Here is a 26,602-nt window from a genome sequence, read left to right as displayed (position 1 = left end):
AGATCTCCATTTCTTGTGGGTGGGGCAGCTGTTACCAGATCCCTAGAAGCAAAGGTTTTTTTGGGGGACCGTGTCTCACTGTTGCCCAGGCTGGAGGGCAGTGGCACGATCTCGGCTTACTACAACCTCCGCCTCCCAGGCTCAAGCGACTCTCCTGCGTCAGCTTCAAGAGTAGCTGGGATTACAAGGTATGTGCCACCACGCCCAACTTATTTTTTTATTTATTATTTTTATTTAGTAGAGAGGTGTTTCACCATGTTGGCCAGGTTAGTGTCGAAGTCGTGACCTCAGGTGATCAGCCCCCTCGGCCTCCCAAAGTGGTAGGATTAGAGGGGTGAGCAGAAAGCAAAGGTTTTTGAGTGGCCACAGGCCCCACTCTATTTCCTTTTCTGCCTGTAATGGCAACCTAGACGCTTGAGCTTCTTAAAATACAAGAGTAAGTTGCATGTCAGGCACCGTTCTACATTAGGGACATTAGTCTGTTTTACAGACACCTTTCAACTCCCTGGTTAACTTTTAGGTAATATACTCTGCACTTTAGCAGGAATGGGACCTATAACTCTCACAGAATTAGGAAAGTGAGGCTGCCTACAGCCTAAATTGAGAAAAAAATAGACGGGGGACTAGTCGGAGGACCAAACAAGGTTACCAACACGTTAGAGTTTTGCCTTCAATTTACATTTTTAAAGTAATCACAACGAAGTGTTTAGATCACGAGGCATCCCTGCATGTAAACTGTTAGGCACTAACTATGGTCGATCTTACAAAGCATTAACTAGAATATTTCTTTAGAGTATGATAGTACGTAACTGACCTACTATTACATACAAACAGACCAACCTTTAGTAACAGCGCTCCCCAAAAACCGAAAAGCAGTAATACGCTTTGCTCAAGGTTGGCATAAAATTAACTTACCTTAGTGCCTTTTTTCCTTCTACCTACAAGCAGTGAGGTTAGCTCTTCCTTTGAAACGGTAGGGGGGCTCTGAAAAGAGCCTTTGGGTTTGATAGCGTTTCCGGGAGCTCAGATACCTGTCAAATCACTTGCCCTTGGCCTTGTGGTGACTCTCGGTCTTCTTAGGCAGAAGCACGGCCTGGATGTTAGGAAGGACGCCGCCCTGAGCAATGGTCACCCGGCCTAGCAGTTTGTTGAGCTCCTCGTCGTTGCGGATGGCCAGCTGCAAGTGGCGCGGGATGATGCGAGTCTTCTTGTTGTCGCGAGCCGCGTTGCCGGCCAGCTCCAGGATCTCGGCGGTCAGGTACTCTAACACCGCCGCCAGGTACACCGGCGCGCCTGCCCCAACCCGCTCTGCGTAGTTGCCTTTACGGAGCAGGCGGTGCACTCGGCCCACCGGGAACTGGAGACCAGCGCGAGAAGAGCGGGATTTCGCTTTGGCGCGAGCTTTGCCTCCTTGCTTACCACGTCCAGACATTGCAATCAGACAAAAATCACCAAAACCAGCGGCCTAAGCTCACGAGAAAACAAACAAAATCAAGAAATATGTAAAACATGGCCGCTTTTATAGGTAGTTCCTGGGGAGTAAATCCGACTTTTTGATTGGTCGGTAGCAAATGCTAGTCAGATAGCCAATAGAAAAGCTGTACTTTCATACCTCATTTGCATAGCTCTGCCCACGGATGACAACTGTGCAGTTTGTCTTCCAATTAACTAAGAGGTACTCTCCATCCCTCATTAGCATAAAAGCCCTATAAGTAGCAGAAATCCGCTCTTTACTTTCGACACATTTCTGGTGTTTTAAGATGCCTGAGCCAGCCAAGTCTGCTCCCGCCCCGAAGAAGGGCTCCAAGAAGGCAGTGACCAAAGCGCAGAAGAAAGATGGCAAGAAGCGCAAGCGCAGCCGCAAGGAGAGTTACTCTGTGTACGTGTACAAGGTGCTGAAACAGGTCCATCCCGACACTGGCATCTCTTCCAAGGCCATGGGCATCATGAATTCTTTCGTTAACGACATATTTGAGCGCATCGCGGGCGAGGCTTCCCGCCTGGCGCATTACAACAAGCGCTCGACCATCACCTCCAGGGAGATCCAGACGGCCGTGCGCCTGCTGCTTCCCGGAGAGCTGGCCAAGCACGCCGTGTCGGAGGGCACCAAGGCCGTCACCAAGTACACCAGCTCCAAGTAAACATTCCAAGTAAGCGTCTTAACACCTAACCCCAAAGGCTCTTTTAAGAGCCACCCAGATACCCACTAAAAGAGCTGTGGCCAGACGCCAAATTTTATTTGGCGGCGGAGGGGTATTAGAATATAGGAACTGGAGAGGGGTGGGGACAAGTGTTGCAGCTTAGAGAGGGACAAAGGGTCCTGAACCCGAAAGAAGCCAGCCATTAAAAATGGCTTTGGGGTCAATTCGTTGTGCTTAAATTTAAAATGGAGACAAGCGGCCATTTTGCTAACTCGGCGTTCCCGGAAGAAACCGCAGGCTCGCTTAGGTTTCAGACCCAGCTGTCTGTCCCTGTCTACGTCGCCAGGATCAACGGTTGCCGTAATGTCATAATTTCGCCACCAGCTTCTAGCCAATAGGCTGTCCTGTCATTTTAAATATTAACCAATCGAGGGAAAGCTGTTTTGAGACTCTGATTTACATAGCGGACCGGAGTGGGAACCTGGGCAGTAACTGCCTAAGGAAGGACTCCCCCTCTGTTTTCGTGGCGCACACCTTCGTAGTATACTGAAGGGTGTGTCTCCTGGGTTTCCAACTGCCCCGGTAATAGTCTTTTAACCTAATATGCGTCAGTTTTGATAACAACACTAAGGCAGTACAGAACTAAAGATGTAAGCACTGCGCCAGATGTTGCTTCATACATCTTATTCTATTCAACTGGTTTATTCAAGATTCAAATCAAATCAAATTTTGCTTGAATCCCAGTGCTCAGTCAGCCATAAATGGTGTGTTGCCTGATTGAAACTTAAAATCTCCGTAGGGGGCTTGTAACATGCAGACAAGTTTGAAAGTTGCTTTAGGAGAAGCCAACTCTTAACTGCTGGGTAAATTGACAAGCCTTCGAACACTGAACTGAAGGCCAGTAAGGACTAGGCGCTGGGTGGGGGAGAATGAAGAGGAGACGTCATTAAACTTAGCACATACACTGTATCTCCTAGAGGACTCTCCCTTCCTAGACAACTGCAGGCCGCTTTGTGGCCTGGGAAATTCCACATTCCCTTAAGTATTTTACTCATGGTCTTTTCCAGGTAAAGATTTTAAGATGAAGGGTTAGACGTAGTCTACCTATCTTTTTATTCAAGTCTAGAACACGTTTTTAGCACCTAGAAGTTTGCTTTCTCCATTAAAAACCGGGAATATACAATAAATAAAATTAGTGTTAAAGCAGATTTTTACAAACTTAAATACCATGTAATTTAGGTTACAGTTATTTAACATAAGGACTGTGTGATCTTAAATCTGCAATTTCTTTCACACCTGGGAAATAAACTAAGGCCTGTCTTTGGTGCCAGACAAGGCCTTATACTTGAACACTGCTGTGCAATCACAGGCTGCCTTGCCTAGATAACTTATCTGAGAAATTCTGATGAGAAATGAAATTTCCAGAGTCCCTCACAAGTAAATTTTTTTTTCTTTTTTTTTTTTTTTTTTGAGACGAAGTTTCTCTCTTGTTTCCCAGGCTGGAGTGCAATGGCGCGATCTTGGCTCACAGCAACCTCCGCCTCCCGGGTTCAAGCCATTCTCCTGCCTCAGCCTCCGGAGTAGCTGGGATTACAGGCATGCGCCACGACACCCTGGCTAATTTTGTATTTTTAGTAGAGACGAGGTTTCTCCATGTCGGTCAGGCTGGTCTCGAACTCCGGACATCAGGTGATCTGCCCGCCTTGGCCTCCCAAAGTCCTGGATTACAGGCTTGAGCCACCGCGCCGGGCCTAAATGGTTTTTTTTTTTTCTATGCCTCTAATGGACCTGGTCACTTATTCCCATTCAGACTGACCGCTCTCCTACCTGCCAACTAACTAATCAGTGTAACCAAAATCTGCAAACAAAATTCAGTATTCTTTCCCCGCCTTTTCCCCTTTCTCTTACATAGATTATGTTTTTGCCTGTGTTAGATGAAATAATTCTATTGCTTGTTCTCTCTTCTGTACAAGTACCCAGTAAGCAAATTATTAACTTCTTGGTCATTTATTTCTGAATTTTCCACCAAGACAGTGTTTATGTGAGTCATACAATAAGAACCAACAGAAATGTGTGTCTTGGAAACAGGTTGTCTATCCCTGGACCCTTTGAGTTTTCTGTTCACTTTCCTTTGGCTTTTGCATGCTAAAAGTTTATCGTCCGCGTTTGTTTGTTTTGGTTATTCTAATTGGACTTGGCTGATTGGTTGCATATTGGTGGCAGTAGTAGAATTTGAATTCTGGTTTTCTGGTCACATCATTAAGTGATTAGTCAGTGGAGAGGACAGGAAATCTGGTTTATTTATTAACCTTTTTTTGGGGTGTTTTTGTTTGAAGATGTTGATATTCTCTGTGAGGACACAGGGTTAGAGTTGGTGTTTTTCTTTCTGACTTTACATGGGATTTGATGTTTTGTGCTTGTATGCCTCTTTCCACCTTCCAAAACTTGTCTTTTTTGAGTCCAAATAGTTGTCGATATCTGCAAAACCAGTATTCCTGTGTTAAGATGATATGAATATAAAATGGCTGCCCTGTTATAACTTTTGACTTTAAGAAAGTGTTAGGACTAACAGGAGACAAAAAGGAAATCAAGGAAACCGAATGTCTGGTCTCAATAACTGCTATGGCAGAGGCTCTACAGCTTATTATTAATTTTAGTAATTTCACATTATTGCCCCTTCACGTTCTTTAAGTAAGGTTAGAGGACAGAAGAAACATAATGTTGTTACAAATTGGACTATTGAGTCAGGGAAAAAAAAGAGTGCTTTCAATATCTGAATAAAACAAAGATTTAATATTTTCTAAACCTTAACGAGTTTATTGTAAGGGATGTGATGCTGGAAACTAGGAAACTAGAATTTTCTTCTAAACTGAGAATCAGAATTATTCATATTCTCAGCAGTGGTGCCACCTGAGGGACTTCTGATCTTAATTACATACTTTTATTTCTTTAACTGATCAACATGCTAAATAGATAACCTATGGCTCTGTTTTTACCCACTTTAAATTCTGTTCTATTAGCACGGTTAGCTTTCCTAATTGGCAATAAGATTGAGACTATCTTTTTTTTTTTTTTGAGACAGAATTTTGCTCTGTGGCCCAGGCTGGGGTGCAGTGGCACAATCTCGGCTCACTGCAACCTCTGCCTCCAGGGTTCTAGCAATTTTCCTGCCTCAGCCTCCCCAGTAGCTGGGATTACAGGTGCACCACCACGCCTGGCTAATTTGTGCATTTTTAGTAGAGATGGGGTTTCGCCATGTTGGCCAAACTGGTCTCGAACTCAGGTGATCCACCTCGGCCTCCCAAAGTGATGAGATTACAGGCGTGAGCCACCGTGCCCAGAAAAGACTATCTTATTTTATGAATTTAAATAATTGTGAAATTATCCACTTAAGGGAATTAATAAATTATAATGTAATCTTAAATTTTAGTTGGCTTACATAAAGACTTAAAATACATCAATTTAAATAAAAACTCATTTGTCTAAAAAAAAATCAAAAATTTTCCTTGTGCTTTAAATGTGCTACCTCTTTAAGTTCTAATTAAGAGAAAAAAAGTTTAACTGTGAGTTTCATTAGTGGTCTTAGTTAACAGCTTAAAGTATTTTGTAAAAAAAATACTTCACAATTTTTAAATAACTTAAAAATATTAATACCTCTTTTATTAGGTTTTTTTAATAAGGAAAATATATAATACATCTAATCAAGATTTTTTTTGGACAAATTGGCTTAATAATTTCATTTTAAAAATGGCTTCTTTATTCTTATACTGTAAAAATAATATTAGCAGAATATTATAGTATACACAAGTTTAGGGTTCATATTCTAAAAAACAAAAACAAAAGCTAATTTAACTTGCATTTACTAAATTTCTTCCACTAGTTGTACTGGTTACATGAGTTAACATCACTTTATTTATTATTCTAAAATTGTAAATTATTCATTGAACCAAATTAAATGATAATAGATAATGTCATTTTTAAAAATGGAATTAAATTTTATGTTACTAATTATAAGGATTCAATGTGTGAGCTTAAGTACTGAGTTCACAGTGTATGATAACTTTAAGAATTTAGGTGAATATTATTAAATTGAGTAAATTAATTCTCAATCTTTGGATACCTGGACAATTTCTAAATTGGAGGGTACAAAATACAAATCACAAGAAACAGTGTAGTTTTATGCAAATAACATTTTTACACAGTTTAGAATAACCATTGATAAACAGATAAGAGAACATATGATTGCCTTAGAATAGATACTGTTGCTTTCGCCACTTTAGATTTGTAAATCACGTACTGTATACGTGTGGGCGTAGAGGACCATGCAGGTTTTGGATGACTGCCTCTGTTTTCGTCATGCCTATGCGGGAACACAATTGCCTGCTTTGTTTAAGGGCTATGGTTAATCCAAACAGCTCTGACTCTATCAAGTACTATAGCTACAGAGAAACACAAGTAAGCATTCGAGATAATGACTACCTTGAGCCTTTACTTATTTAAAAAGTTGTTACTGTTTGTTAATGTGGTACATTCAATTTACTATGGATTGTCACTCTAAAATAAGACTTCAATCTTTTTCTTATTTTTATATAGCCATGATTTATATTCATATCTTAATGTAATAACCAATCTTCTCTGACAACATTATAACAATGCTGGAACCTCCATTTTCAGTACTTCAAACAACAAATACTGCTTTTATACTTCAGAGCAGATGGATATGTGCTTCCCAGTGTAAACACATTTGGAATCTCACTGAGAAATACACTATCACTAAAAATACAGTTCTGAGATTCATTAAAAGACCTCCAGAATTCTGGAAGTAGGAAGTTTCCTCTTCAAAGTCTACAGAGGAAGATGAGGTCTGAAATAGACAGCTTCTTCCTTCTTTTACCTGTGGTATTATTCTGTTTTGTCCTTTTCTCCATTATCTGTCTTTCCAGTGATGAAATTTTGATCTGGCCCTCCCAAGTATTAAAAAACAAGCAAATAAACAAATCTCAGTTATATTTTACTAAGATATTGGCATGCTAACTTTTTGCAGGTTTGTAACAAGGACCTTTATAACTTGACTAAAAGTTCCTAAATAAGAATATTTACTAGAAAATTTATTTCTGCCTGTGGCCCACATTTGAGTCAAAATAATCAATTAGGAAAAATGAACTTGTTTAACTAAAGTTGACCAAACTGATCTTTGACCAAACTGATCTTTGAGACCTATTCATCTAAGACAAGCCAATTAAATTCTTGGAGACAATTTGTACTTTAAGGAATTCTTATAATATTTGTAATTACCCTCATAACTTTTTTTTTTGCCCTACTTCTGTGCTTCTCTAATATGCAGATTATTAAATGTTGTTACAAAGCCATTGTCAAAAAAACAAAAAACAAAAAACTAAACAAACTCACATGGTTAGACTTGCTCCTTTATGAGATATTTTTACCAAAAATGGAGGAGTTGAAAAACTCTGGTGCCAGAAATCGTGAAGACATGGCCTACCTAACATGGAAATGTTGGTTGTCAGTGGAAAATACTACACAGAGATAGCCATAGTGCTGCACAGCCAATCTTAAGTGTTTCTAGAGAATCACTAATTGTTTCTAGAGAATCACTAATTGTTTTCTTTTAACATTCTTGGTTTATACAAGAAGAGAGTATCCATACTAAACTCTTTTCTACTGAAAATAATGTGCAAACATAACATCCTATTCCTAGACAGTTTGTAGTTTTTTTCTCCCATTTCTATTTTATAAATCATCTTTTTAAAATACTTTGTTGAGTGAAATCAGTCCATTGCTTGATATACCTTGAGCACAAGTAAATAGTATGCCAAAAATTAAATGTCTTTCAGTCACAGTTTGACAAACTCAACTACCCTGAGCCTATAGAGTGGTAATAATTGCCCTACTCATAAAGATGGGGTGAAGATTAAATGAAATAGCACCTATAGAACACTAGTTCCAGACGTGGTATCATGCTAGTAAAATGGCTGCACAGCACTGCTCAATGATGACAAAAAGTGAAGCTTCTGGAGACAGACTCCAAGTTTGACTCCCAGATCACCACATATAAGATGTGGGACTCTGAGGCAGGTCATTTAATCTCTCTGTGCATTAGTATCCTTCTCTATACCTTTACAGTGATGGTAATAGCACCTACCTTCTAGAAGTATGTGAAGATTAAAGATCCTTAATGCATATAAACCACTGTGTTTACTGCTGTTTGACAAATTTTATTTATAACCATCTTTACGCTCCTAAAAGGACTTGAAGCAGCTTATGACTGAAGACTTTGGTAGGAGTTGGCCTTCTATAAATTATAAGAATTTCATAAATTATTTGATATGAAAATGCCAGTTGATCATAGTATGTTTACCGGGGTCCAACAGGTTGAGAAAAAATACACTTTTTTTCCCTGAACATATGAAATTAGCTCTCTAGGCATATTCCTAAGGACTTAAAGAATGATAACTATCATTTCTCTTAAATCTTCCAGATTTGGAAGGATATATATATTCAGCACATTGACAGACAATCCCAGTAGTCCTAAATTAAAAGACATTAAAAATTAGTGAAACTTTTCCTACCTTTAGCCTGTGTAATCCTGGATGACCAAGCATAAAATTAAATTGAGTAGAGTATACCACTGTAACATTTCCTGAAAGGTATTCTAGGCTCTGAGTAATTTCTTTGGGGTCTGAAGATCAGTTTGACATATCCTCAAGTATCATGAGTTCATTATAATTAAGAAAAAGAGAGTAAATCTGGAGAATGAGCCACTTTCTTACTACTCCTTGACCTCAGTTCTTTTTTTCAGAGACAGGGTCTCACTTTGTTGCCCAGGCTGCCAGGCTGGAGTGTAGTGGCGCAATCGCATCTCATTGTAACCTCCACCTTCTGGGCTGAAGCCATCCTCCTGCCTCAGCATCCTGAGTATCTGGAACCACAGCAGGTGCACACCACCATGCCAAGCTAATTTTTTAAAAAGTTTTTTGTAGAGATGGGGTCTTACTATGTTGCCCAGGCTGGTCTCAAACTCCTGGGCTTAAGTGATCCTCCTGCCTCAGCCTCCCAAATTGTTGGGATTACTAGTGTGAGTCACTGTACCCCGCCCCACTTCAGTTCTGAGGAGGAAAAAATATGTAATAATAATGGGACTTTGGTTTGCTGATTTAAAGATTCATGTAACCTTATCATCCAATGCGCAATTTGTAGAATAATTAATAGAGACATCTGGTCTCATGTTTCTACAGTTGCTCATGCCTTGATAGTAGATCTCCTTGCTGCTGGCTCAGAAGGGTAAAAGAGCAGAAATGATGGGGCTTCTCTCATTCTATGAGGAAATAGACCTATGTAGAGGAGGCTACCTGTGGTAAAACCTTATCCTCATCACTTAAAATTCTAGGCTTATTCTCTGACCATATCAAGTTTTCAAATGGTAAAAGAATTGGATTCAAGAGAAATATGAATAAACTTTTGTTTTCACTTTTCTCCCTCCTCTCCCCCCATTCTCCCTTCCTTTATTTTCTTGTCCTTAGTTTTCTTTTCACTTTTTTGTCTACTATTATTTGCCCAAACTCAACTGTAGGCTAGAACAAAAAAAAATTGAAAATTAAAATGTGCCCCTTTTGTTGTTAGACTTGCTTAAACAATTGGGGTAATGAACCTTGGACACTAGATTTTAAAACACACACATTTGAGCTTCAGTGCACTGAAATAAATATATTTTTAACAATTAAAAAATAAAATTGCATGTTTAAAAAATCTGCAGAGAACAATACACGTTGTGAGATCTTGAATGGAAGGAAAACTGCTAGCCTCAAGAGTGGATCAAAGATGCTCAGCAGGCAACAGAGTAAGAGCATGTTGGAGGGTTTAGAGAGTGTGCTCAGGGTTCTAGGCTCTAAAAATCAGACAGTCCCCACGGCCTGGCCTTCGTCGCTGTATCTTCTTTATGAAAAACACTAAGTCTTTTTCCTCACTGGATAAATTTTTATCCTTCAAGTTTAGATCAAATGGAACTTTAGGACACTGACTAGGTTACATTCATCTTTTAAGAGCGTACAGACATTCAAGGGCTAGAGGATGTGGGTTTACTGCACAGGCTCATTATCCAACAGCTGTGCTACCTGGGAAACTTAACCTCTCTGTGCCTTAATTTCCTCATCTATAACGCAGGGAGAATGACAGTAGGTATCTCATAAGGTTGTTGGAACAACTAAATGCATTGGTATCTATTGTGTAAAGTGCTTAAAACACTGCCTGGCACAGAGCAAACATCCAGTGAACTTTAGCCATCATCATTATCATTGTTCTCAGAGTCAAATACAATATCTCATATCTGATAAATTACAGAAGTGAATCAATCACTCTCTCTCTTTTCTCCAGGGGGAGACAACAGCTTTTAGACATATCTTTTCCAACAGTCGTCACTGCTGGACACTGTTTCATCTTGCAAATAAACCAATGAAAATGAGTGATCCTAGAAGAAGATAAATGGAGGTATTTTGAACAATCAAAGAAGGACAAATGAACACCTGGCTGAGAAAAATTAGCTCTTTTTTCTATGCATAAAACTATTAAAATATTCTTCATAGAAATTTATGACACAGGAAACATAAAGACAAAATTAAAATAACTCCTAGTATCTCCTATTCTTTTTATATGTATATTATATATACTCATATTCATATATACATATATCTCACATCATGTATCATATATAAAATAAATTTAGGTGTCATGATATATATTTAGATAAATATACTTAGAAACTTTTTTATGGATGTATAATTTATGGATATATTGATAATTATGTATTTGTTATTGACTACTTCAATTGATTCCCATTTTTATGCATTATATTATAGATTATATAGCTCACACATCTTTGTACATAAATCTTTGTTCAAATATTATTTCCTAAGGATAGACTTCATGAAGTGGAAATACTAAATCAAAAGTGAAAAACATTTTCTAAGGTTCTTAACATATACATTGCCAAATTGCTATTCAGGATCATACCAATTTATAATCCCAAAATAATATGGAAATTCCTGTTTTATAGCACTCATATTTACAATAAATTTTAAAAATCACTGTTAACCTAATAGTCCTTCAAAAGAAAAAAAAATTGAAATTACATTATTTTAATGACTCTATTAGTGAGGGTCATTCTTCCCATGTTTCTTGTTAGCCATGACCCTATAAGAAATAAACTGCACTGCAAAATGATAAACATGACATCAATCATTACATGGGAAGGCACTATATAAAGAATAATACCTTAGGTTAAGGCCACATAAATATTTATCAGGTGCCTTTTCTGCGGAGGACTCTGAAGGGATACTAAACTGCATTTAGCTGCATGCAACTGAAACTACTTTTACCTACATTGTCTCTTATAAACATTATAACTACTCTTTGAGAAAGTGTTTACTATGGACTGAATTGTCTCCCCATCCCCCCAAATTCATATATTGAAGCCATAAACCCCAATATGACTCTATTCCTAGACAGGACTTATAAGAGGTAATTAAGGTTAAATGAGGTCATTAGGATGGGTTCCTAACTGGATAGGATTGGTGGCCTTATAAGAAGAGGAAGATTCTGCACTTGGTCTTCCAAATTAAATAATTTATTTAAAAGAAAAAAAAAAAAGAGGAAGAGAGGGAGCTCTGCACATATACTGAGGAAAGGCTATGTGAGCTCTCACAGTGAGAAGGTAGCACTCTACAAGCCAGCAAGAGAGCCCTCAACAGAATCCAGCCATGCTATACCCTGCTCTGAGACTTCCAGCCTCCAGAACTGTGATAAAATTTTGTTGTTTAAACCACACAATCTATGGTATTTTTTTATGGCAGCCCAAGCCAACAAAGACAGCATCATTGCTGTCACTTACAGACAAGAAAACTAAGACTAGGAGAGAGAAAAGTTAAACTTGTCCAAGGTCACAAAAGCCAGAAACAAGTGAGGTGAGAAGTTGACCTTGTTCTCCTCAATCCAAGGCCAGGACTCCTCCACTCCACATGTAGATAGCCACCTCACAGTCAACAGCCAAATGTCCACACCCCAGAGTCAGCATTAGACCAAGATGTCTTACCAGGAGACAAATGCCTCATCTTGAATAAATATGATCTAACAACTTACCCATGTAAAACATTGAATCTCATGAGAAACAAAAATGCAAAGTATGTAGAAAACTATGTTTACCACTTAACTGACAGTGATAAAAAGCTTAATGATATCCTTATAGTCTTGGAGGGGTTTGTATATGTGGTGAAACAGGTGCTCACGCACTGCTGATAGACTGTAAATTGGTCCTAGAGAGAAAAATAAATAAACTGGAAGGAGATATGCTGTATGTTTACTTTTTTTATGGAAACATATGATATACCTGGAAATTCGATTGACCATGCATCTATTTCTTCAATGGGTATGCACAGTTGAGCTGTTCCCATGCACCAGGCACTGTAATGGGACAACTGCACATGACAGTCAAAAATCTCAGTCTCATGAAGTCGACATGCTCATGGAGAGGTGCTACCCACTAAACTAATATTTGTATATCAATTATGGATACATTGGGCCACATTTACAGAAATTCACTTACAGTGGGTTACCAGAAGGGATTTTTTTTCTTGATTGGCAAGAAGGCTAGGCTGTTTTGTTGGGGGCTGGCAGGAGCTGTCTAGGCTGCCCAAGTATGCAGGTCTCTTCTATCATCCTGTGTTAACCATCTTCCATGTATCTTTCAACCTCATGGTCATCTGCAGCATGTCTAGGGGTCATATCTATGTTCCATGCAGGAAAAAAGGGTAAAGGGAAAGGGAAGTAGGCATGTACCATTTTAATGCACACCTTGGTTTTCAGAAAATTTAAGAAGAAAGACTTTCTGCTTTTCTCTGACTATTCTGTATTCTGGATTACAACGCAACAGAAACGTCACCTTAAATTCTAATGTTTTTCTCTCCTTGCTTTCAAAAACTGACTCATTAACCTCCACGTGGCTTGGAAAAATTATTTCAGTCATCCAGTAATGAGCTGTTCATAGAAATGTTTTGGACATCAAGTCTGTGTTGTTAGCATTATACATGTTAAGCATTGAATAAAAAACAACATGATGTGGGTAAATTTCTTTACTTACATATAAGTACTTATATACTTATAGCTGAAAAGAGAGGTTGAAATGTCAGGTGGAACAGAAATAAGATTACCTAGATGTTTCTCCTATGGGTGATTTTCAGCTATGCTGATCTTTCTTCTGGGTCAGGTACTCCCAGAACTTCCTAATTAAATGGTGGCCCTGATCTTAGTTCCTCTCTCCTCTTAGACATTTTCCAGGACTACAGAAGATGTGCAGTTTATAAATGAGTAGCAGAAACCTACTGAACAAATTATTCAGGCTCATCTGAACAGAGAGGACACCTTCTCTGCTATACTCTCTCAGTGATTTCCCTGCCTTGGGGTCAATTATTGTCTTGGACATTGATTTAAGCACATAATAATTGTTGTCATTGCTTATGTTTGGATTTCATCTCCCAAAATAGATGGTAAATTCTTTAGTTTAGAGACCAAGTAATACTTAAAAAAAAATTTTGTGTGTGTGTGTGTGTTTTTTCTGTGTCTCTCAGCCCTGTAATAGCATCGTACTTACACTTGTTAGATTTTTAGAGACAACTTTTACAAAACATGGAATTATCTACATACCCTTTCTACAAAACAGACAAATTAAATACTCAGTAGTTGAACCAAAAAAAGCAGTTCAAATAAAATACTTGAAAATGAAGAAATCATTTGAACAGAGTTAAAGTTAATCGTAAAATAATGTCTGTAAAAATTATTGCCAATCAAATATAAAGTTCAAAAATAGTGCTTGAAAAAGGAAGAATCATATGAAAAGGGACTACTCATTTTAAAAATGTTAGATATCAGGAAAAGCCAAGAAGTGAGTATGGTAAGAGTGCTGTCAAGTGAAACCCTGCTAATCTCACTGAACATGTAAAAATCTGTAGATGCCTTTATTTTATTCACTCACACACATATGTAGAAAGAGAAATATATGGTAAACATTAAAAAAACCAAATTAGAATGTAAAATTAATACTTTAAAAAATGGGCTGTATACTTTTCTTATCACCGGAGATAAGAATTTATTATTTTTAAAATAAAGTTATTTTCTCTGTGACTGTTTCCATGACTTTGCTACTTAGAAGTTAGAGATGCCAAAGTTTATCTAAGAAAATGTTTATGGAAATATTATTTCAATAATGAATGTTTAGAAGACTGAATTTCCTGACTGGGCGCAGTGGCTCATGCCTGTAATCCCAGCACTTTGAGAGGCTGAAGAAGGAGGATCGCTTGAGTCCGGGAGTTCAAGAGCATCCTGGGCAACACAGCGAGACCCTGCAGCAAAGTAAAAAGAAAAAAGAATTGAAAAAGGAAGACTGAATTTCCTTTGGGCAAGTCATGTGACATTCCTGTGCCTCAGTTTCTTCATCTATAAAGTTAATTCCTACATTTTTGGGGAAGGGAGAGAAAAACTTAGGATAGTGACTGGCACAGAAGAAGCACTATATACTATATATATGTGGATATCATTTGTTTTTATGGTACCATTTTAGCTATCTAATGCAAAATATGAATCTTTTTTTTCTGGGTCTTAAATTATGGAATGTAAGAATTTTCTAAATTCTCTAATTCTGTGTTAGTTTTAAAGCAATGGAGTAACGTATCTGTCAACTTGTAAATATAAGGATCAACCTGATCCACAATTTGACCCCTAGCCACTAATATTTAATAGTACAACACTCAGAAATTATCAAAGGTCAGAGAAGCCAAACAAATGTAAAAACATACAGGTGCTCAGAAAGATGCACCTGTAATCTCTCTAAGGAGAAATATTTTCCAAACTGAGTGACACGGTGCTTTAGTGAGTTGTGGAATCAATCTCATGATTTCCAACCTAGTGTTCTTTTAAAAATGAACTAGTCCACAGTAGAATATACTAAAGTGCTGGTGCTTAAGATAGTATTGTTTTCTGGAAAAAAAAAAAAAATTTTTTTTTTTTGAGACAGGGTCTCGCTCTTGCCCAGGCTGAAGTGCAGTGGCACAATCATGCTCACTGCAGCCTTGACCTCCTGGGCCCAAGTGATTCTCCCACCTCAGCCTTTTGAGTAACTGGGACCACAGGTACGTGCCACCACACCCGGGTAATTTTTTAATTGTAGAGACAGGGTCTTGCTATGTGCTTAGGCTGGCCTTGTGAACTCCTGGGCTCTAGTGATCCACTAGCCTCAGCCTCCCAAATTTATGGGATTATAGGCATGAGCCACCCTACCTGGCCTGTTCCCTGAATTTTTTTTTCTTTCAGGTGTTTGTGCATATGTGTGTGTGTATGGGTATAACAGAGAGACAGAGAGAAAGAAACTTTTCTATCTCACTTTGCAATCAGAAGTTTGAAGTCTTATCTTTTGGCTTTTGTTTCAGAAATATTTCAAATGTAGACTCTCTCCTTTACCACACTGTCCCCTTAGGCAAGGTCTTTGCCATTCTTCTGAGACTATTGCAACAGACTCCCAACTTCTGACTGTGGGCCCTTCTCAAAAATGATTGTTTATGCAATAAATCTAAACCCAAGACAACTACAACAATACAACAAATTCTCTGCTTAAAAACTTCCAATGTCTGCCGGGCGCGGCGGCTCACGCATGTATTCCCAGCACTTTGGAGGCAGAGGCGGGCAGATCACTTGAGGTGGGGAGTTCGAGACTAGCCTGGCCAACATGATGAAACCCCATCTCTACTAAAAATACAAAAAATTAGCCAGGCATGGTGGTGGGCGCCTATAATCCCAGCTAATTGGGAGGCTGAGGCAGGAGAATTGCCTGAACCTGGGAGGTGGAGGTTGCACTGAGCCAAGATCACACCATTGCACTCCAGCCTGGGCAACAAGAGCAAAACTCTGTCTCAAACCAAACCAAAACAAAACTTCTAATATCTACCAAATGTTTCACACAAGTATTTGGGGATCTTCACAAATGGCCCTTATGGAGTTTTCCTTTGCTGAGACCCTATGCTCTGGCCACACTAAACTCATTCAGCATCCCAGAAAGGCCTCAGCCTTTGTGAGCAAGCTCTTATCTCCAGGCCTCTCACAAAGACCTGTTCCAGTAGAAGCTCAGGGGAGCACACTGGACATTATTCCAACAACCCTTTCCCCACAGCTATGCAGCCAAATCTGCCAGCTCAGTTAATTAATTAAGCAATTCAGAGATGAGGGTCTGCCCAGGCTGGAGTGCAGTAGCTGCGACCTCAAGCTCCTGGGCTCTAAGTGATCCTCTTCAGTCTACCCAGAAGCTGGGACTGCAGGCATGTGCCACCACACCCAGCTAATTTTTTTTTTTTTCAGTAGGGACCAGGCCAACCTAGTCTTGAACTCCTGGCCTCCAGCCTTCCGAAGTGCTGTAATTACAGGCATGAATCACTGCGCCCAGCCAACCCGCCCAGTCTTGTTAGACATGGGGTCTGTAGTTTCTAGTAGGTTCTTGAGTCTAGGGTTCCTACCTCATGTTTTATAGTTAATTTAGGGGAGGGACTGTGTCTGTTTATCTGGGGATGTAGGGGTGGGCAGGGGGATAGAGGGGACTTCAATTAATGAAACCAGAAGCAAAACTCAGTTGAGGACACCGGTCATGAGAGTGGCCTGATTATGGCCAATCTTACATAATGTGTGAGATCTTGATATTACCCCATCCTTGAGAGTCCTCTATAAAGCTACAGGGACTTGGGAGCACCTTTAATTACAGACAACCCATGTTCCTGTGGATTATGATTTATTAGATTGCACATGCCTAAATAAAGACATCCTCTGCAGTCTTTTGACAATTCTATAAGCATCTTCTGACTCCGCAATTAGACAGCTAAGAGATCTGTGTTACTTCCCTCACATATATAAATAATTTTAAATAAAAATCATGGCGTGAATAATTTCTTTCCTCTACCGATTTGAAGCTATCCATTTGGAAGACCACTCTGAAGAGATGAAATAAGTCTTCTGCCAAAGATTACTTATTAATTTACAAGGAAAAGGGGAAGTTTTGTTCCTCTCCGTGAATTTGATTGAAAATCGAGGGCTTTCTCGAATAGTTTTGGCATCCAGGGTCATTTTTCATTAAAAAGAGAAAAGTCATGTCAAATATGAATTTCCGCAGATTATTCAGCACTAGACCCTGGGAGATTCTGTAAAGAGGGGTTTTGTTATACTCAACTTTTCCGGGTAAAACAAACACAAATACTCCTCCTCCAAGGGGCGGGGGCGGTGCCTAGGTGATGCACCAATCACAGCGCGCCCTACCCTATATAAGGCCCCGAGGCCGCCCGGGTGTTTCATGCTTTTCGCTGGTTATTACATCTTGCGTTTCTCTGTTGTTATGTCTGAAACCGTGCCTGCAGCTTCTGCCAGTGCTGGTGTAGCCGCTATGGAGAAACTTCCAACCAAGAAGCGAGGGAGGAAGCCGGCTGGCTTGATAAGTGCAAGTCGCAAAGTGCCGAACCTCTCTGTGTCCAAGTTGATCACCGAGGCCCTTTCAGTGTCACAGGAACGAGTAGGTATGTCTTTGGTTGCGCTCAAGAAGGCATTGGCCGCTGCTGGCTACGACGTAGAGAAGAATAACAGCCGCATCAAACTGTCCCTCAAGAGCTTAGTGAACAAGGGAATCCTGGTGCAAACCAGGGGTACTGGTGCTTCCGGTTCCTTTAAGCTTAGTAAGAAGGTGATTCCTAAATCTACCAGAAGCAAGGCTAAAAAGTCAGTTTCTGCCAAGACCAAGAAGCTGGTTTTATCCAGGGACTCCAAGTCACCAAAGACTGCTAAAACCAATAAGAGAGCCAAGAAGCCGAGAGCGACAACTCCTAAAACTGTTAGGAGCGGGAGAAAGGCTAAAGGAGCCAAGGGTAAGCAACAGCAGAAGAGCCCAGTGAAGGCAAGGGCTTCGAAGTCAAAATTGACCCAACATCATGAAGTTAATGTTAGAAAGGCCACATCTAAGAAGTAAAGAGCTTTCCGGGAGGCCAATTTGGAAAGAACCCAAAGGCTCTTTTAAGAGCCACCCACATTATTTTAAGATGGCGTAACACTGGAAACAAGTTTCTGTGACAGTTATCTATAGGTTTAAGTTGTGATGCAGCTGAGTTGAAAAGGCTTGAGATTGGAGAATTAATTCAGGCCAGGCTTCAAGACCATCCTGGGCAACATAGCCAGACTACCATCTATACCAGGGGTCCTCATTTCCCCGGCCACCGACCGGTAACCGGTCCCTGTCCATGGCACGTTATGAATTGAGCCGCACAGCTGAGGGGTGAGCGAACATTAACCAACTGAGCTCCACCGCCTGTCAGGTTAGCTGCAGCATTAGATAGATTCTCATAAGCTCAAACTGTATTGTGAATGGCACATGCAAGGGATCTAGGTTTCAGGCTCCTTGTGACAATCTAATGCCTGATGATCTGAGGTTGGAGCAGTTTTAGTCCGGAAATCATTGCTCCCAGCCCCTGCACCCCCTGGTCCGTGGTATAATTGTCTTACACAAAACGGTCTCTTGTGTCAAAAAGGTTGGAGACTACTGGTTTTACAAAAAAGTAAATTAGTCAAGCATGGTTGGCACGCTCCCTTAGTCCCTGCACCCAGGCGTTTAAGGATACAGTGAGCTATGATGGTGCTACCTCACTCCAGCCTGGGTGACAGCGAGTCAGACGTTGTCTCAAAACTTAAAAAAAAAAAAAGTTAAAACAGAAAAAGGGCTTCTTGTCAGAGACTGCCGTATATCTAGAGGTCCAGGAACTAAAAAGTCTGATGTCCAATCCTGAAAAGCTCGATGGTGCACTAGAGGAGGCTTTTACATGTAAGAGCATCTAAGTTCTGGAAATGCCAGTGTCAGGGAAGGGAAGTGGAGAGCAATTTGGCATCCAAACATAACTTGCTGATACTTTTTTTTTTTTTAACACAAGTACTACATTCTAGTCTTTCTGTGGTGTCATTGTAACTATTGTTTCTTAATATGCTATCCACTGACTTCAAGGGATCAATAAATAGGAATCAAGGTGTCCCAGAATATGGATTAGGGGAGTTTTTTTGTTGTTGTTGTTGTTGTTGTTTTTCATCTATTCATTATCCTGTAGCTGAAATTTAGAATTTTCTTCCATTGTGTGTGACTGATAGAAATAACAAATTTGTAGGTTATAGTTGTTGCAAGAATCTGGAAATCGTGCTTGCTTATTTCCGAAGTACTATTAGGTATATCAACAAAAACACACATATTACGGTCAAGTGGTTTGATAATTATTTTAATATTATTGGTCTAATACAATTGTAACCCTATGAATTACTTTAAGTATCTTATTTATGAAAAGAATCTGTAAGTTTCATCAGACTACCAGAGCATACCGAAGACTGAAAAATTTTAAGAATCCAAACCTTAATGGAAATGTTGGAGGCTGCCCAATTAGGTTCTGAATTCCACCTTCCTGAATCACAAACTTGTTTTAACTCTCAGTCTGAGGTAAACTACGTTTCTCTTTAAACAGACATAGTTTAATTTTCCTTTGATTTTTGATTTAGTATTCTTACTGATCATCATAAATAACCAATGCTAATGTTAGTCTACTTTGGACCATGGTATTTCGAGAAACTTTGAACAAAGTCCCCTGCAAAACTATGCATTGCATTATTTCACATACATTTATGTTTTCCAGACGGTTCAATAGTACCTCACTTTTCTGAACTTATTTGTATAGTTTGGCATCTTTTTAAAAATTGTGTCCTATAATGAAAGGTTGTAAACATTATGTTTTAAATTTGTATAGATAAAATCAACCACAGACCTTTCCTTGCTTGGATGTAATTGCCATTGTTTCCCAATGAGTTCGGAATTACTAGGATTGTGCAAAAATATGCCTCACTTGCCTGACATAGCAGAGAGCCATTTTGCCTAAATGCTGTGCCCAGCAATGGACTGTCACCAGATTCTCATCACATACAGTGAGGATGAACAACTAGCCTCTCCCAGCAGCTGGCCGGTCTCTCAATAATATGGGACTCCCTCAAGATGGCTTCCTGCACCTTTGCTCCTCTAGCCTTGTATGTATACAAGGCTAGCATGCCTGGCATACATAAGGTTAAAAACAAAATCAATAAGTTATGGTTCTTCCTCCAGTTCTGGGGATTATTAGACCACTTTTTTGTTTTGTTTTGTTTTGGATGGAGCCTCGCTCTGTCACCCAGGCTAGAGTGCAGTGGCACAATCTCGGTTCACTGCAACCTCTGCCTCCTGGGTTCAAGCAGTTCTCTGGCTCAGCCTCCCACGTAGCTGGGATTACAGGTGCCCGCCACCACGCCCGGCTAATTTTTGTATTTTTAGTAGACGGGGTTTCACCATCTTGGCCAGGCTGGTCTTGAACGCCAGACCTCGTGATCCACCCACCTTGGCCTACCAAACTGCTGGGAATACAGGCGTGAGCCACCGCGCCCGGACTTAGACCACTTTGTTTTGGCCAATAGGACAACAGCCATAGAACCCTCCGCAAATGAGAGCTTGTCCCTAAAGATGCTTTATTTACATAGCTGTGTGCCGCATGAGCCAAAAGGTGATAACCTTTGTTCAACACGCGCCTCCAGCCCTTCGGTTAAGTCCAAAGTACCATTCTTAGAATGCTCTAAAATACATAATTTTTTTTTTTTTTTTTTTTTTTTTTTTTGAGGAGTCTCTCTCTGTCTCCCAGGCTGGAGGGGAGTGGCGCGATCTCGGCTCACTGCAATCTCTGCTTCCGGGCTAGCTGGGCCTACAGGTGCAGACCACCACGCCCGGCTAAGTTTTGTATTTTTTTTGGTAGAGGGGGTTTCACCATTTTGGCCAGGCTGGTCTCGGATTCTTGATCTCAAGTGATACACTAGCTTTGGCCTCCCAAAGTGCTGGGATTACAGTCGTGAGCCACTGCGCCCAGCAAAATGCTTTTTGTGGAGCCAATCACTTTATTAGCGCTTACCTCTCTATGCCTACTTTATGCTTTGAAATTTTGTCACAGTGTGGCCGGTCATGGCAAACACAATTCATTCTTATGCAGGATGTCACGGTTATTTCTGTCATCCAAACTCATTCTCGCAACGCATTTCAGCTCTTTAAACGACTTTGTGAGCGGCCCTGAAAAGGGCCTTTGGGTTTTTTTGTTTTTGTTTTTTGAAGTTCTCAGGAGACCGCGTATTCTTAGATTCAGCCGCCGAAGCCATACAGAGTGCGCCCCTGACGTTTTAGGGCATATACTACATCCATGGCTGTGACAGTTTTGCGCTTGGCGTGCTCCGTATAGGTGACGGCGTCTCGAATAACGTTCTCTAAGAAAACCTTAAGCACACCTCGAGTCTCCTCATAGATAAGACCGGAAATGCGCTTGACGCCACCGCGCCGAGCCAAACGGCGAATAGCCGGTTTTGTAATGCCCTGGATGTTATCCCGGAGCACCTTACGATGGCGCTTAGCACCACCCTTCCCCAAGCCTTTTCCGCCTTTGCCGCGACCAGACATGATTCCTATCGCAGTGGAAGGTATGAACTGAAACAGTTCCTTAAATACAAACTTGGCGGACCTGATTGAAAACAACATGAGTTGGCGCGGTTTTTTTTTTTTTTCAAATTTGGTCACCAAGTGGGTGGAGCAAGAAAAACTGTTTCATTATGGTTCATTGTTTTGATTGGCCAGTGACAGCTTGCTCTTTGTGGGAGTGGAAGGGTGTTTGCAAGTTGAATGCGCTGTATTCCTGTCAGCTTAATGACGCTAAGCATAGCCCCATTCCACATTTCTTTTTATTTCCACTTGCTAACTAATAAATTACGGAATAGTTTATTGGGGAACATACAAATAATGTTTAAAGGAGGTCAGATTTATAGGTCAAGGGATTTACCCTCCCAATCATTTTAATATTTTTATTTAAACCAGGCATTTTGATGGCCTTCTCTGTGCTGGACAAGGTATAAGTTTGGCTATGAAGTTTCACTCCTAAAGACCCTATGTTTTGGGAAGGCAAAAAGGTAGCCAAATAATTGCAAATTAAAACCTCATAAGTGCAAACTTCTTCCTCGTCACTTTCCCTATCTCGATTCAAATATTTGTTGAATGACTCATTTTTCTGCAAAAGTCTGAGAGAGACAGGGAATATAAACTTAAGTCTGGATAATATGTTTTCCCGGGACGCTCTTCCTGGTCTGCTGTGCCTGTTTGCTGTGCCTGAAATTCCAAACACTCTTCCCTTCCCTCCGTTTTTAATCCCCTTTCAACTTGCTACAGCTTTAGAGAAAAGAACATTCGTTTTGTACAGTTGGGGATTAATTGAAGTGTAGGGCTAATACTTGATTAAGGTCATTACAAAATCTACAGGGTCTTCCTCTGGGAGGTTTTTGTGATAAGATTATTGGTGTTAAAATAAGGCTAATCCCCTTGAAAAATAAATAGAATAGCAGAATTGGGTCTGAATGTGGTTTGAAGAAAGGGACTTCTCAATTCAAAATTTTATTCTTAGCTTCCTGCGGGAGCTTTCCAGAATGCCCATAAGATCCACTTTTGTTTAAAAAACAAAAACAACCCCACCCACCACTCTCTGGTTAATAAATGAATTTCTATTGGGAATATTTAGAATGGGGCTGTGGCCTGTGAGAGACATTATATAGTAACCTCAGACTTGCTCACATGAAGAGAAGAAATCCAGGAATGGAGAAAAAAGACCCAGGAAAGGCCAGAATGCTCTACATGTCATATTGTTTGTATCACTTCTGAAATAATTGATTACATTCTTCTGCCCCAAATTGAGTTCTTAGGTTCTTCCACTCACTGTCCACATGCCACAACACAGACCTTATAACTAGAGACTTAGCTAGGAAGAAATGTCAAACATTACAGAGAAAAAATGCAGAGTCTGAGATCATAAGTAAAACTCTGAAATCTCAACATGCCTTTTAATTCATGAAAATAAAAAATATAGCAGCATATGCAATATGACAATTCTCTGAAAACATACATCATGTGAACTACCCTGGAACACATCTCGCCAAGTGCCATCTTCATTTTAACCAGAGGTCTAGGATGCCTTTCCTTTATTTTGCCTATTATATCATTTATAAAACCCCATTTTTATTTTGATATTTTATTTACTTTCTATTTCCTGCTCCTAATATCTCCTTTCTAAACTTTTCTCAATGACAGTGACTCAAAAACAATGAATGTCAGAACAAATATTTAAAGGATCTGTACATGTAGATATATATATTTAAAATGGATTCTTCCACTCTGCGAAGAATTCAGGCATACTCAATCTTATGGTTAGGGAGAGATTAGGCTCACTCGCCTAATCTGTATGGCTTCTCGTTCGCTTTCCATTTCACCTTCCTCTCACCCATCAGATCAAACTCATTCATTGAACAAGAGACCTAAGCCCTTCAGATTAAAACTCTGCAAACAAGTTGTGGTTGAGAGGATACATGAAGCATTCAAACAAATAAATCTATGATATTAATCAGAGGTTAATCTATGATATTAATCAGAGGTTAATGCAGTGGCTCACGGCTGTAATCCCAGCACTTCAGGAGGCTGAGTTGGGAGAATCGCTTGAGCTCAGGAGTTCAAGACCATTTTGGGCAACATAGCAAGTCTTCATCTCTACTTAAAAAAAAATAACCAGAGGTGTTATGAAAATATAAATTGTCCAGAACTACCCTCCACAAACTAACTCTCTCAGAATATTCGATATGAGGAATGAAATATGGTGTGTGTGTGTGTGTGTGTGTGTGTATGTGTGTGTGTGTGTGTGTGTATGCACCTATATATGGCACCTATATATTCAACAAACAATTCTGATAATTGGCCAGGGTTGAGAATGACTAGCAGCCCAGCATACACTATCAGTTTTAAGTATATAATTGCGCTTTAGTAAAATGTAAAGAAATCCCAGAGTAGAAATACTTTTAAGCTATATTACAGGTGAGAAAATGCATAAGTATAGTCTCACCCAACTTAGACTATGGGGGCTTTATAATGTCACAACAGTTGTTTCCAGGCATTTGGGGACATCACCACTGGTCTTGGGCAAGAAACTCCTCTAGCCAATGGCTGATTTATCTCACTCCCATCTAAGGCTTCACTGCATTTCTCTTTTTCAGCAACCTAACTTATTTAAAAATATCCATTTTCTGATTCATTTTTTTCTGAATTAAACTGTCAGTACCATTGGCACACCTTTGGTTCCGTAGCATACCTGTGTCTCTGCTGTGTTTTTTTTTTACCTCCACTCCTTACTTTTCTAGAAAAAAATCTCTGCTTTTTCTTTTCAGTTTAAATTATTTCACAAAAAGTTTTCTTGACTTGCACTTCCTAGGCTTGCTGTCCTTGTGTGGGCACGCTCCCATAAACACTATTAATACACTTCGATTTGTTAAAAATAAAGATATCTGGACAGAAAATTTCTTTTCTTTTTTTAAGATTTTAAAATTTTTAATGTTTATTTTTTTCCTAGACTGGAGTACAGTGGCACCATGATGGCTCATGGTAGCCTACACTTCCCCGGGCTCAAGTGATCCTCCCACCTCAGCCTCCCAAGTAGCTGGGACTACAGGTGTGCACAACCACACCTGACTAATTTTGTTTATTTGTTTGTTTTGTTTTTTGAGATGGAGTTTCGCTCTTGTTGCCCAGGCTGGAGTGCAATGGCGGGATCTCGGCTCACCGCAACCTCTACCTCCCAGGTTCAAGCAATTCTCCTGCCTCAGCCTCCCGAGTAGCTGGGATTACAGGCATGCATCACCACGCCCAGCTAATTTTGTATTTTTAGTAGAGACGGGGTTTCTCCATGTTGAGGCTGGTCTGGAACTCCTGACCTCAGGTGATCTGCCCGCCTCGGCCTCCCAAAGTGCTGGGATTACAGGCGTGAGCCACCACGCTCGGCCACTAATTTTGTATATTTTGTAGAGATGGGCTTTCCCTGTGTTGTCCAGGCTGGTCTTGAATTCCTGGGCTTAAGTGATCTGCCCACCTTGTCCTCCCAAAATGCTAGGATTACTGGCGTGAGCCACCAGGTCTGGCTGGAAAGATAATTTCTAACATTATCCTCTCTTAAACATTTGTTTCAAAAATTTTACAAACATGAGAGTAATTAAATTTGATTTTCAAAATTCCCTTGAATACTTTCTTAATAGCACACAGAAAGCACAAAGTATTTTACATTTGTTTTAATGATGAAATTGTGAACCCAAACTTACACAAAGAAAAACCCGTAACATTATACCCATACTTAAAACAGATGCCCTCATATACATAGTAAAACTCTTGGGGGCAGTAGTGAAGTTGGTTATTTACTGTTTTATGAAAGTGCCATTCAGCCGGGTGCAGTGGCTCATGACTGTAATCCCAGCACTTTGGGAGGTCGAGGCAGGCTGATCACGAGGTCAGGAGTTCAAGACCAGCCTGACCAAAATGATGAAACCCTGTCTCTACTAAAAATACAAACATTAGCTGGGCGTGGTGGTGTGTGCCTGTAGTCCCAGCTACTCAGGAGGCTGGGGCAGGAGAATCGCTTGAACCTGGGAGGCGGAGATTGCAGTGAGCCGAGATCGCACCACCGCACTCCAGCCTGGGAGACAGGGCGAGCTCCGTCTCGAAAAAAAAAAACAAAAAAGTGCCGTCATAGTGACTCAGTTTTAAGGAATAAATCAAGGATATTTAACTCAATAGACTACAGTTAGCTAACGTGACTTGCACTGAAAGTTATACGAATATTGGTACTTATTCCCCTGCCCCTGAAGTATGAATTAAAGACTCCAAAATTCTTTTTAGAATCTTCAGAGTAAAAGCTAGAATTTGATTTTTTTAAATAATAAAAAAATACTTTGTATCTAAATCTGGTGTATAAAATAACTTGGTGGATGATGCTTCAAGGCTATCCATCCCCAAATTTCTCCCTGAATGATAAAGAGAATAAATGAATATGTCAATTCAAAAGTTAGAAATTTGGCCGGGCACGGTGGCTCACTCCTGATAATCCTTTCGGACGCTGAGGTGGGTGGATCGCATGAGCTCCGGAGTTCAAGACCAACCTGGGCAACATAGCCAGAACCCGTTTCAATAAATAATAGAAAAAAATGAGCCAGGCGTGGTGGTCCCAGCTACTCAGTAGGCTGAGGTGGGAGGATCACTTGAGCTCAGGAGGTCGAGACTGCAGTGAGCCGTGATCGCAGTACTGCACACCAGCCTTGGTGTCAGACTGAGACCCTGTCTCAACAACAACAAAACAAGTTAGAAATTTGGCTGGGCGCGGTAGCTCACGCCTGTAATCCCAGCACTTTGGGAGGCCAAAAAGGGCGGATCATTTGAGGTCAGGAGTTCGAGACCAGCCTGGCCAACATGGTGAAACTCCATCTCTACTAAA

At 40.2% G+C, this 26,602-nt stretch overlaps 4 protein-coding genes across 5 annotated transcripts, besides 14 other annotated features; 2 read left to right on the top strand and 2 right to left on the bottom strand.

The window, feature by feature from the left end:
• Nucleotides 287-376: an enhancer, noted in NCBI's record as "active region_24192". NCBI's record gives its function as "activates an Ori minimal core promoter by ATAC-STARR-seq in GM12878 lymphoblastoid cells {active_cell/tissue: GM12878}" and the evidence as "EXISTENCE:reporter gene assay evidence [ECO:0000049][PMID:35858748]".
• Nucleotides 384-1,583: an enhancer, noted in NCBI's record as "BRD4-independent group 4 enhancer chr6:26124310-26125509 (GRCh37/hg19 assembly coordinates)". NCBI's record gives its function as "activates an origin of replication core promoter dependent on BRD2, P300/CBP, MED14 and CDK7 cofactors, and independent of BRD4, by STARR-seq in HCT116 cells {active_cell/tissue: HCT116}" and the evidence as "EXISTENCE:reporter gene assay evidence [ECO:0000049][PMID:35650434]".
• Nucleotides 891-1,576: an enhancer, noted in NCBI's record as "NANOG-H3K27ac-H3K4me1 hESC enhancer chr6:26124317-26125002 (GRCh37/hg19 assembly coordinates)". NCBI's record gives its function as "activates a minimal SCP1, AML or CMV promoter by ChIP-STARR-seq in naive H9 embryonic stem cells {active_cell/tissue: H9 hESC(naive)}" and the evidence as "EXISTENCE:reporter gene assay evidence [ECO:0000049][PMID:30033119]".
• Nucleotides 975-1,493, bottom strand: H2AC6 (H2A clustered histone 6). Its single transcript, NM_003512.4, has one exon. It carries the CDS (start codon nucleotides 1,430-1,432, stop codon nucleotides 1,040-1,042), a length of 393 nt encoding a protein of 130 aa, NP_003503.1. The 5' UTR covers nucleotides 1,433-1,493; the 3' UTR covers nucleotides 975-1,039.
• Nucleotides 1,117-1,326: an enhancer, noted in NCBI's record as "active region_24191". NCBI's record gives its function as "activates an Ori minimal core promoter by ATAC-STARR-seq in GM12878 lymphoblastoid cells {active_cell/tissue: GM12878}" and the evidence as "EXISTENCE:reporter gene assay evidence [ECO:0000049][PMID:35858748]".
• Nucleotides 1,417-1,556: an enhancer, noted in NCBI's record as "active region_24190". NCBI's record gives its function as "activates an Ori minimal core promoter by ATAC-STARR-seq in GM12878 lymphoblastoid cells {active_cell/tissue: GM12878}" and the evidence as "EXISTENCE:reporter gene assay evidence [ECO:0000049][PMID:35858748]".
• Nucleotides 1,590-1,955: a silencer, noted in NCBI's record as "fragment chr6:26123938-26124303 (GRCh37/hg19 assembly coordinates)". NCBI's record gives its function as "represses an EF-1alpha promoter that drives an FKBP-Casp9 reporter gene in an ReSE screen in K562 erythroleukemia cells {active_cell/tissue: K562}" and the evidence as "EXISTENCE:reporter gene assay evidence [ECO:0000049][PMID:32094911]".
• Nucleotides 1,590-2,947: a biological region, named in NCBI's record as "BRD4-independent group 4 enhancer GRCh37_chr6:26123079-26124278".
• Nucleotides 1,615-2,814: an enhancer, noted in NCBI's record as "BRD4-independent group 4 enhancer chr6:26123079-26124278 (GRCh37/hg19 assembly coordinates)". NCBI's record gives its function as "activates an origin of replication core promoter dependent on BRD2, P300/CBP, MED14 and CDK7 cofactors, and independent of BRD4, by STARR-seq in HCT116 cells {active_cell/tissue: HCT116}" and the evidence as "EXISTENCE:reporter gene assay evidence [ECO:0000049][PMID:35650434]".
• On the top strand, nucleotides 1,739-12,495 carry H2BC4 (H2B clustered histone 4). 2 transcript variants are annotated; one of them, NM_001381989.1, is made up of 2 exons: nucleotides 1,739-2,150; nucleotides 10,530-12,495. In NM_001381989.1, exon 1 carries the CDS (start codon nucleotides 1,761-1,763, stop codon nucleotides 2,139-2,141), a length of 381 nt encoding a protein of 126 aa, NP_001368918.1. In that variant the 5' UTR covers nucleotides 1,739-1,760; the 3' UTR covers nucleotides 2,142-2,150; nucleotides 10,530-12,495. The 2 variants fall into 2 exon arrangements, with proteins under 2 accessions (NP_001368918.1, NP_003517.2); NM_003526.3 differs by lacking the exon at nucleotides 10,530-12,495 and having other exon boundaries at nucleotides 1,739-2,198.
• Nucleotides 1,827-2,566: an enhancer, noted in NCBI's record as "active region_24189". NCBI's record gives its function as "activates an Ori minimal core promoter by ATAC-STARR-seq in GM12878 lymphoblastoid cells {active_cell/tissue: GM12878}" and the evidence as "EXISTENCE:reporter gene assay evidence [ECO:0000049][PMID:35858748]".
• Nucleotides 2,262-2,947: an enhancer, noted in NCBI's record as "NANOG-H3K27ac-H3K4me1 hESC enhancer chr6:26122946-26123631 (GRCh37/hg19 assembly coordinates)". NCBI's record gives its function as "activates a minimal SCP1, AML or CMV promoter by ChIP-STARR-seq in naive H9 embryonic stem cells {active_cell/tissue: H9 hESC(naive)}" and the evidence as "EXISTENCE:reporter gene assay evidence [ECO:0000049][PMID:30033119]".
• Nucleotides 2,948-3,632: an enhancer, noted in NCBI's record as "H3K27ac-H3K4me1 hESC enhancer chr6:26122261-26122945 (GRCh37/hg19 assembly coordinates)". NCBI's record gives its function as "activates a minimal SCP1, AML or CMV promoter by ChIP-STARR-seq in naive H9 embryonic stem cells {active_cell/tissue: H9 hESC(naive)}" and the evidence as "EXISTENCE:reporter gene assay evidence [ECO:0000049][PMID:30033119]".
• Nucleotides 3,633-4,319: an enhancer, noted in NCBI's record as "H3K27ac-H3K4me1 hESC enhancer chr6:26121574-26122260 (GRCh37/hg19 assembly coordinates)". NCBI's record gives its function as "activates a minimal SCP1, AML or CMV promoter by ChIP-STARR-seq in naive H9 embryonic stem cells {active_cell/tissue: H9 hESC(naive)}" and the evidence as "EXISTENCE:reporter gene assay evidence [ECO:0000049][PMID:30033119]".
• A 5,034-nt stretch (nucleotides 12,496-17,529) lies between the features above and the next one.
• H1-6 (H1.6 linker histone, cluster member) lies at nucleotides 17,530-18,253 on the top strand. Its single transcript, NM_005323.4, has one exon. The coding sequence runs from the start codon at nucleotides 17,572-17,574 to the stop codon at nucleotides 18,193-18,195; it is 624 nt and encodes a 207-aa protein (NP_005314.2). The 5' UTR covers nucleotides 17,530-17,571; the 3' UTR covers nucleotides 18,196-18,253.
• On the bottom strand, nucleotides 21,328-21,732 carry H4C3 (H4 clustered histone 3). The gene has a single exon (NM_003542.4). The coding sequence runs from the start codon at nucleotides 21,715-21,717 to the stop codon at nucleotides 21,406-21,408; it is 312 nt and encodes a 103-aa protein (NP_003533.1). The 5' UTR covers nucleotides 21,718-21,732; the 3' UTR covers nucleotides 21,328-21,405.
• Nucleotides 21,370-22,060: an enhancer, noted in NCBI's record as "NANOG-H3K27ac hESC enhancer chr6:26103833-26104523 (GRCh37/hg19 assembly coordinates)". NCBI's record gives its function as "activates a minimal SCP1, AML or CMV promoter by ChIP-STARR-seq in primed H9 embryonic stem cells {active_cell/tissue: H9 hESC(primed)}" and the evidence as "EXISTENCE:reporter gene assay evidence [ECO:0000049][PMID:30033119]".
• Nucleotides 22,085-22,194: an enhancer, noted in NCBI's record as "active region_24188". NCBI's record gives its function as "activates an Ori minimal core promoter by ATAC-STARR-seq in GM12878 lymphoblastoid cells {active_cell/tissue: GM12878}" and the evidence as "EXISTENCE:reporter gene assay evidence [ECO:0000049][PMID:35858748]".

The sequence above is a fragment of the Homo sapiens genome, chromosome 6 (assembly GCF_000001405.40).
Source record: "Homo sapiens chromosome 6, GRCh38.p14 Primary Assembly".
In the NCBI taxonomy this organism is placed as follows: Eukaryota; Metazoa; Chordata; class Mammalia; order Primates; family Hominidae; genus Homo; species Homo sapiens.
Note: the sequence above shows the minus strand (reverse complement) of the source record. Positions and strands in the feature narration are given on the sequence as shown.

Bases quoted from the DNA above. Each gene is read 5' to 3' on its own strand.
- H2BC4 (NM_001381989.1), top strand. From the start codon at position 1,761: ATGCCTGAGCCAGCCAAGTCTGCTCCCGCCCCGAAGAAGGGCTCCAAG.
- H4C3 (NM_003542.4), bottom strand. From the start codon at position 21,717: ATGTCTGGTCGCGGCAAAGGCGGAAAAGGCTTGGGGAAGGGTGGTGCT.
- H1-6 (NM_005323.4), top strand. From the start codon at position 17,572: ATGTCTGAAACCGTGCCTGCAGCTTCTGCCAGTGCTGGTGTAGCCGCT.
- H2AC6 (NM_003512.4), bottom strand. From the start codon at position 1,432: ATGTCTGGACGTGGTAAGCAAGGAGGCAAAGCTCGCGCCAAAGCGAAA.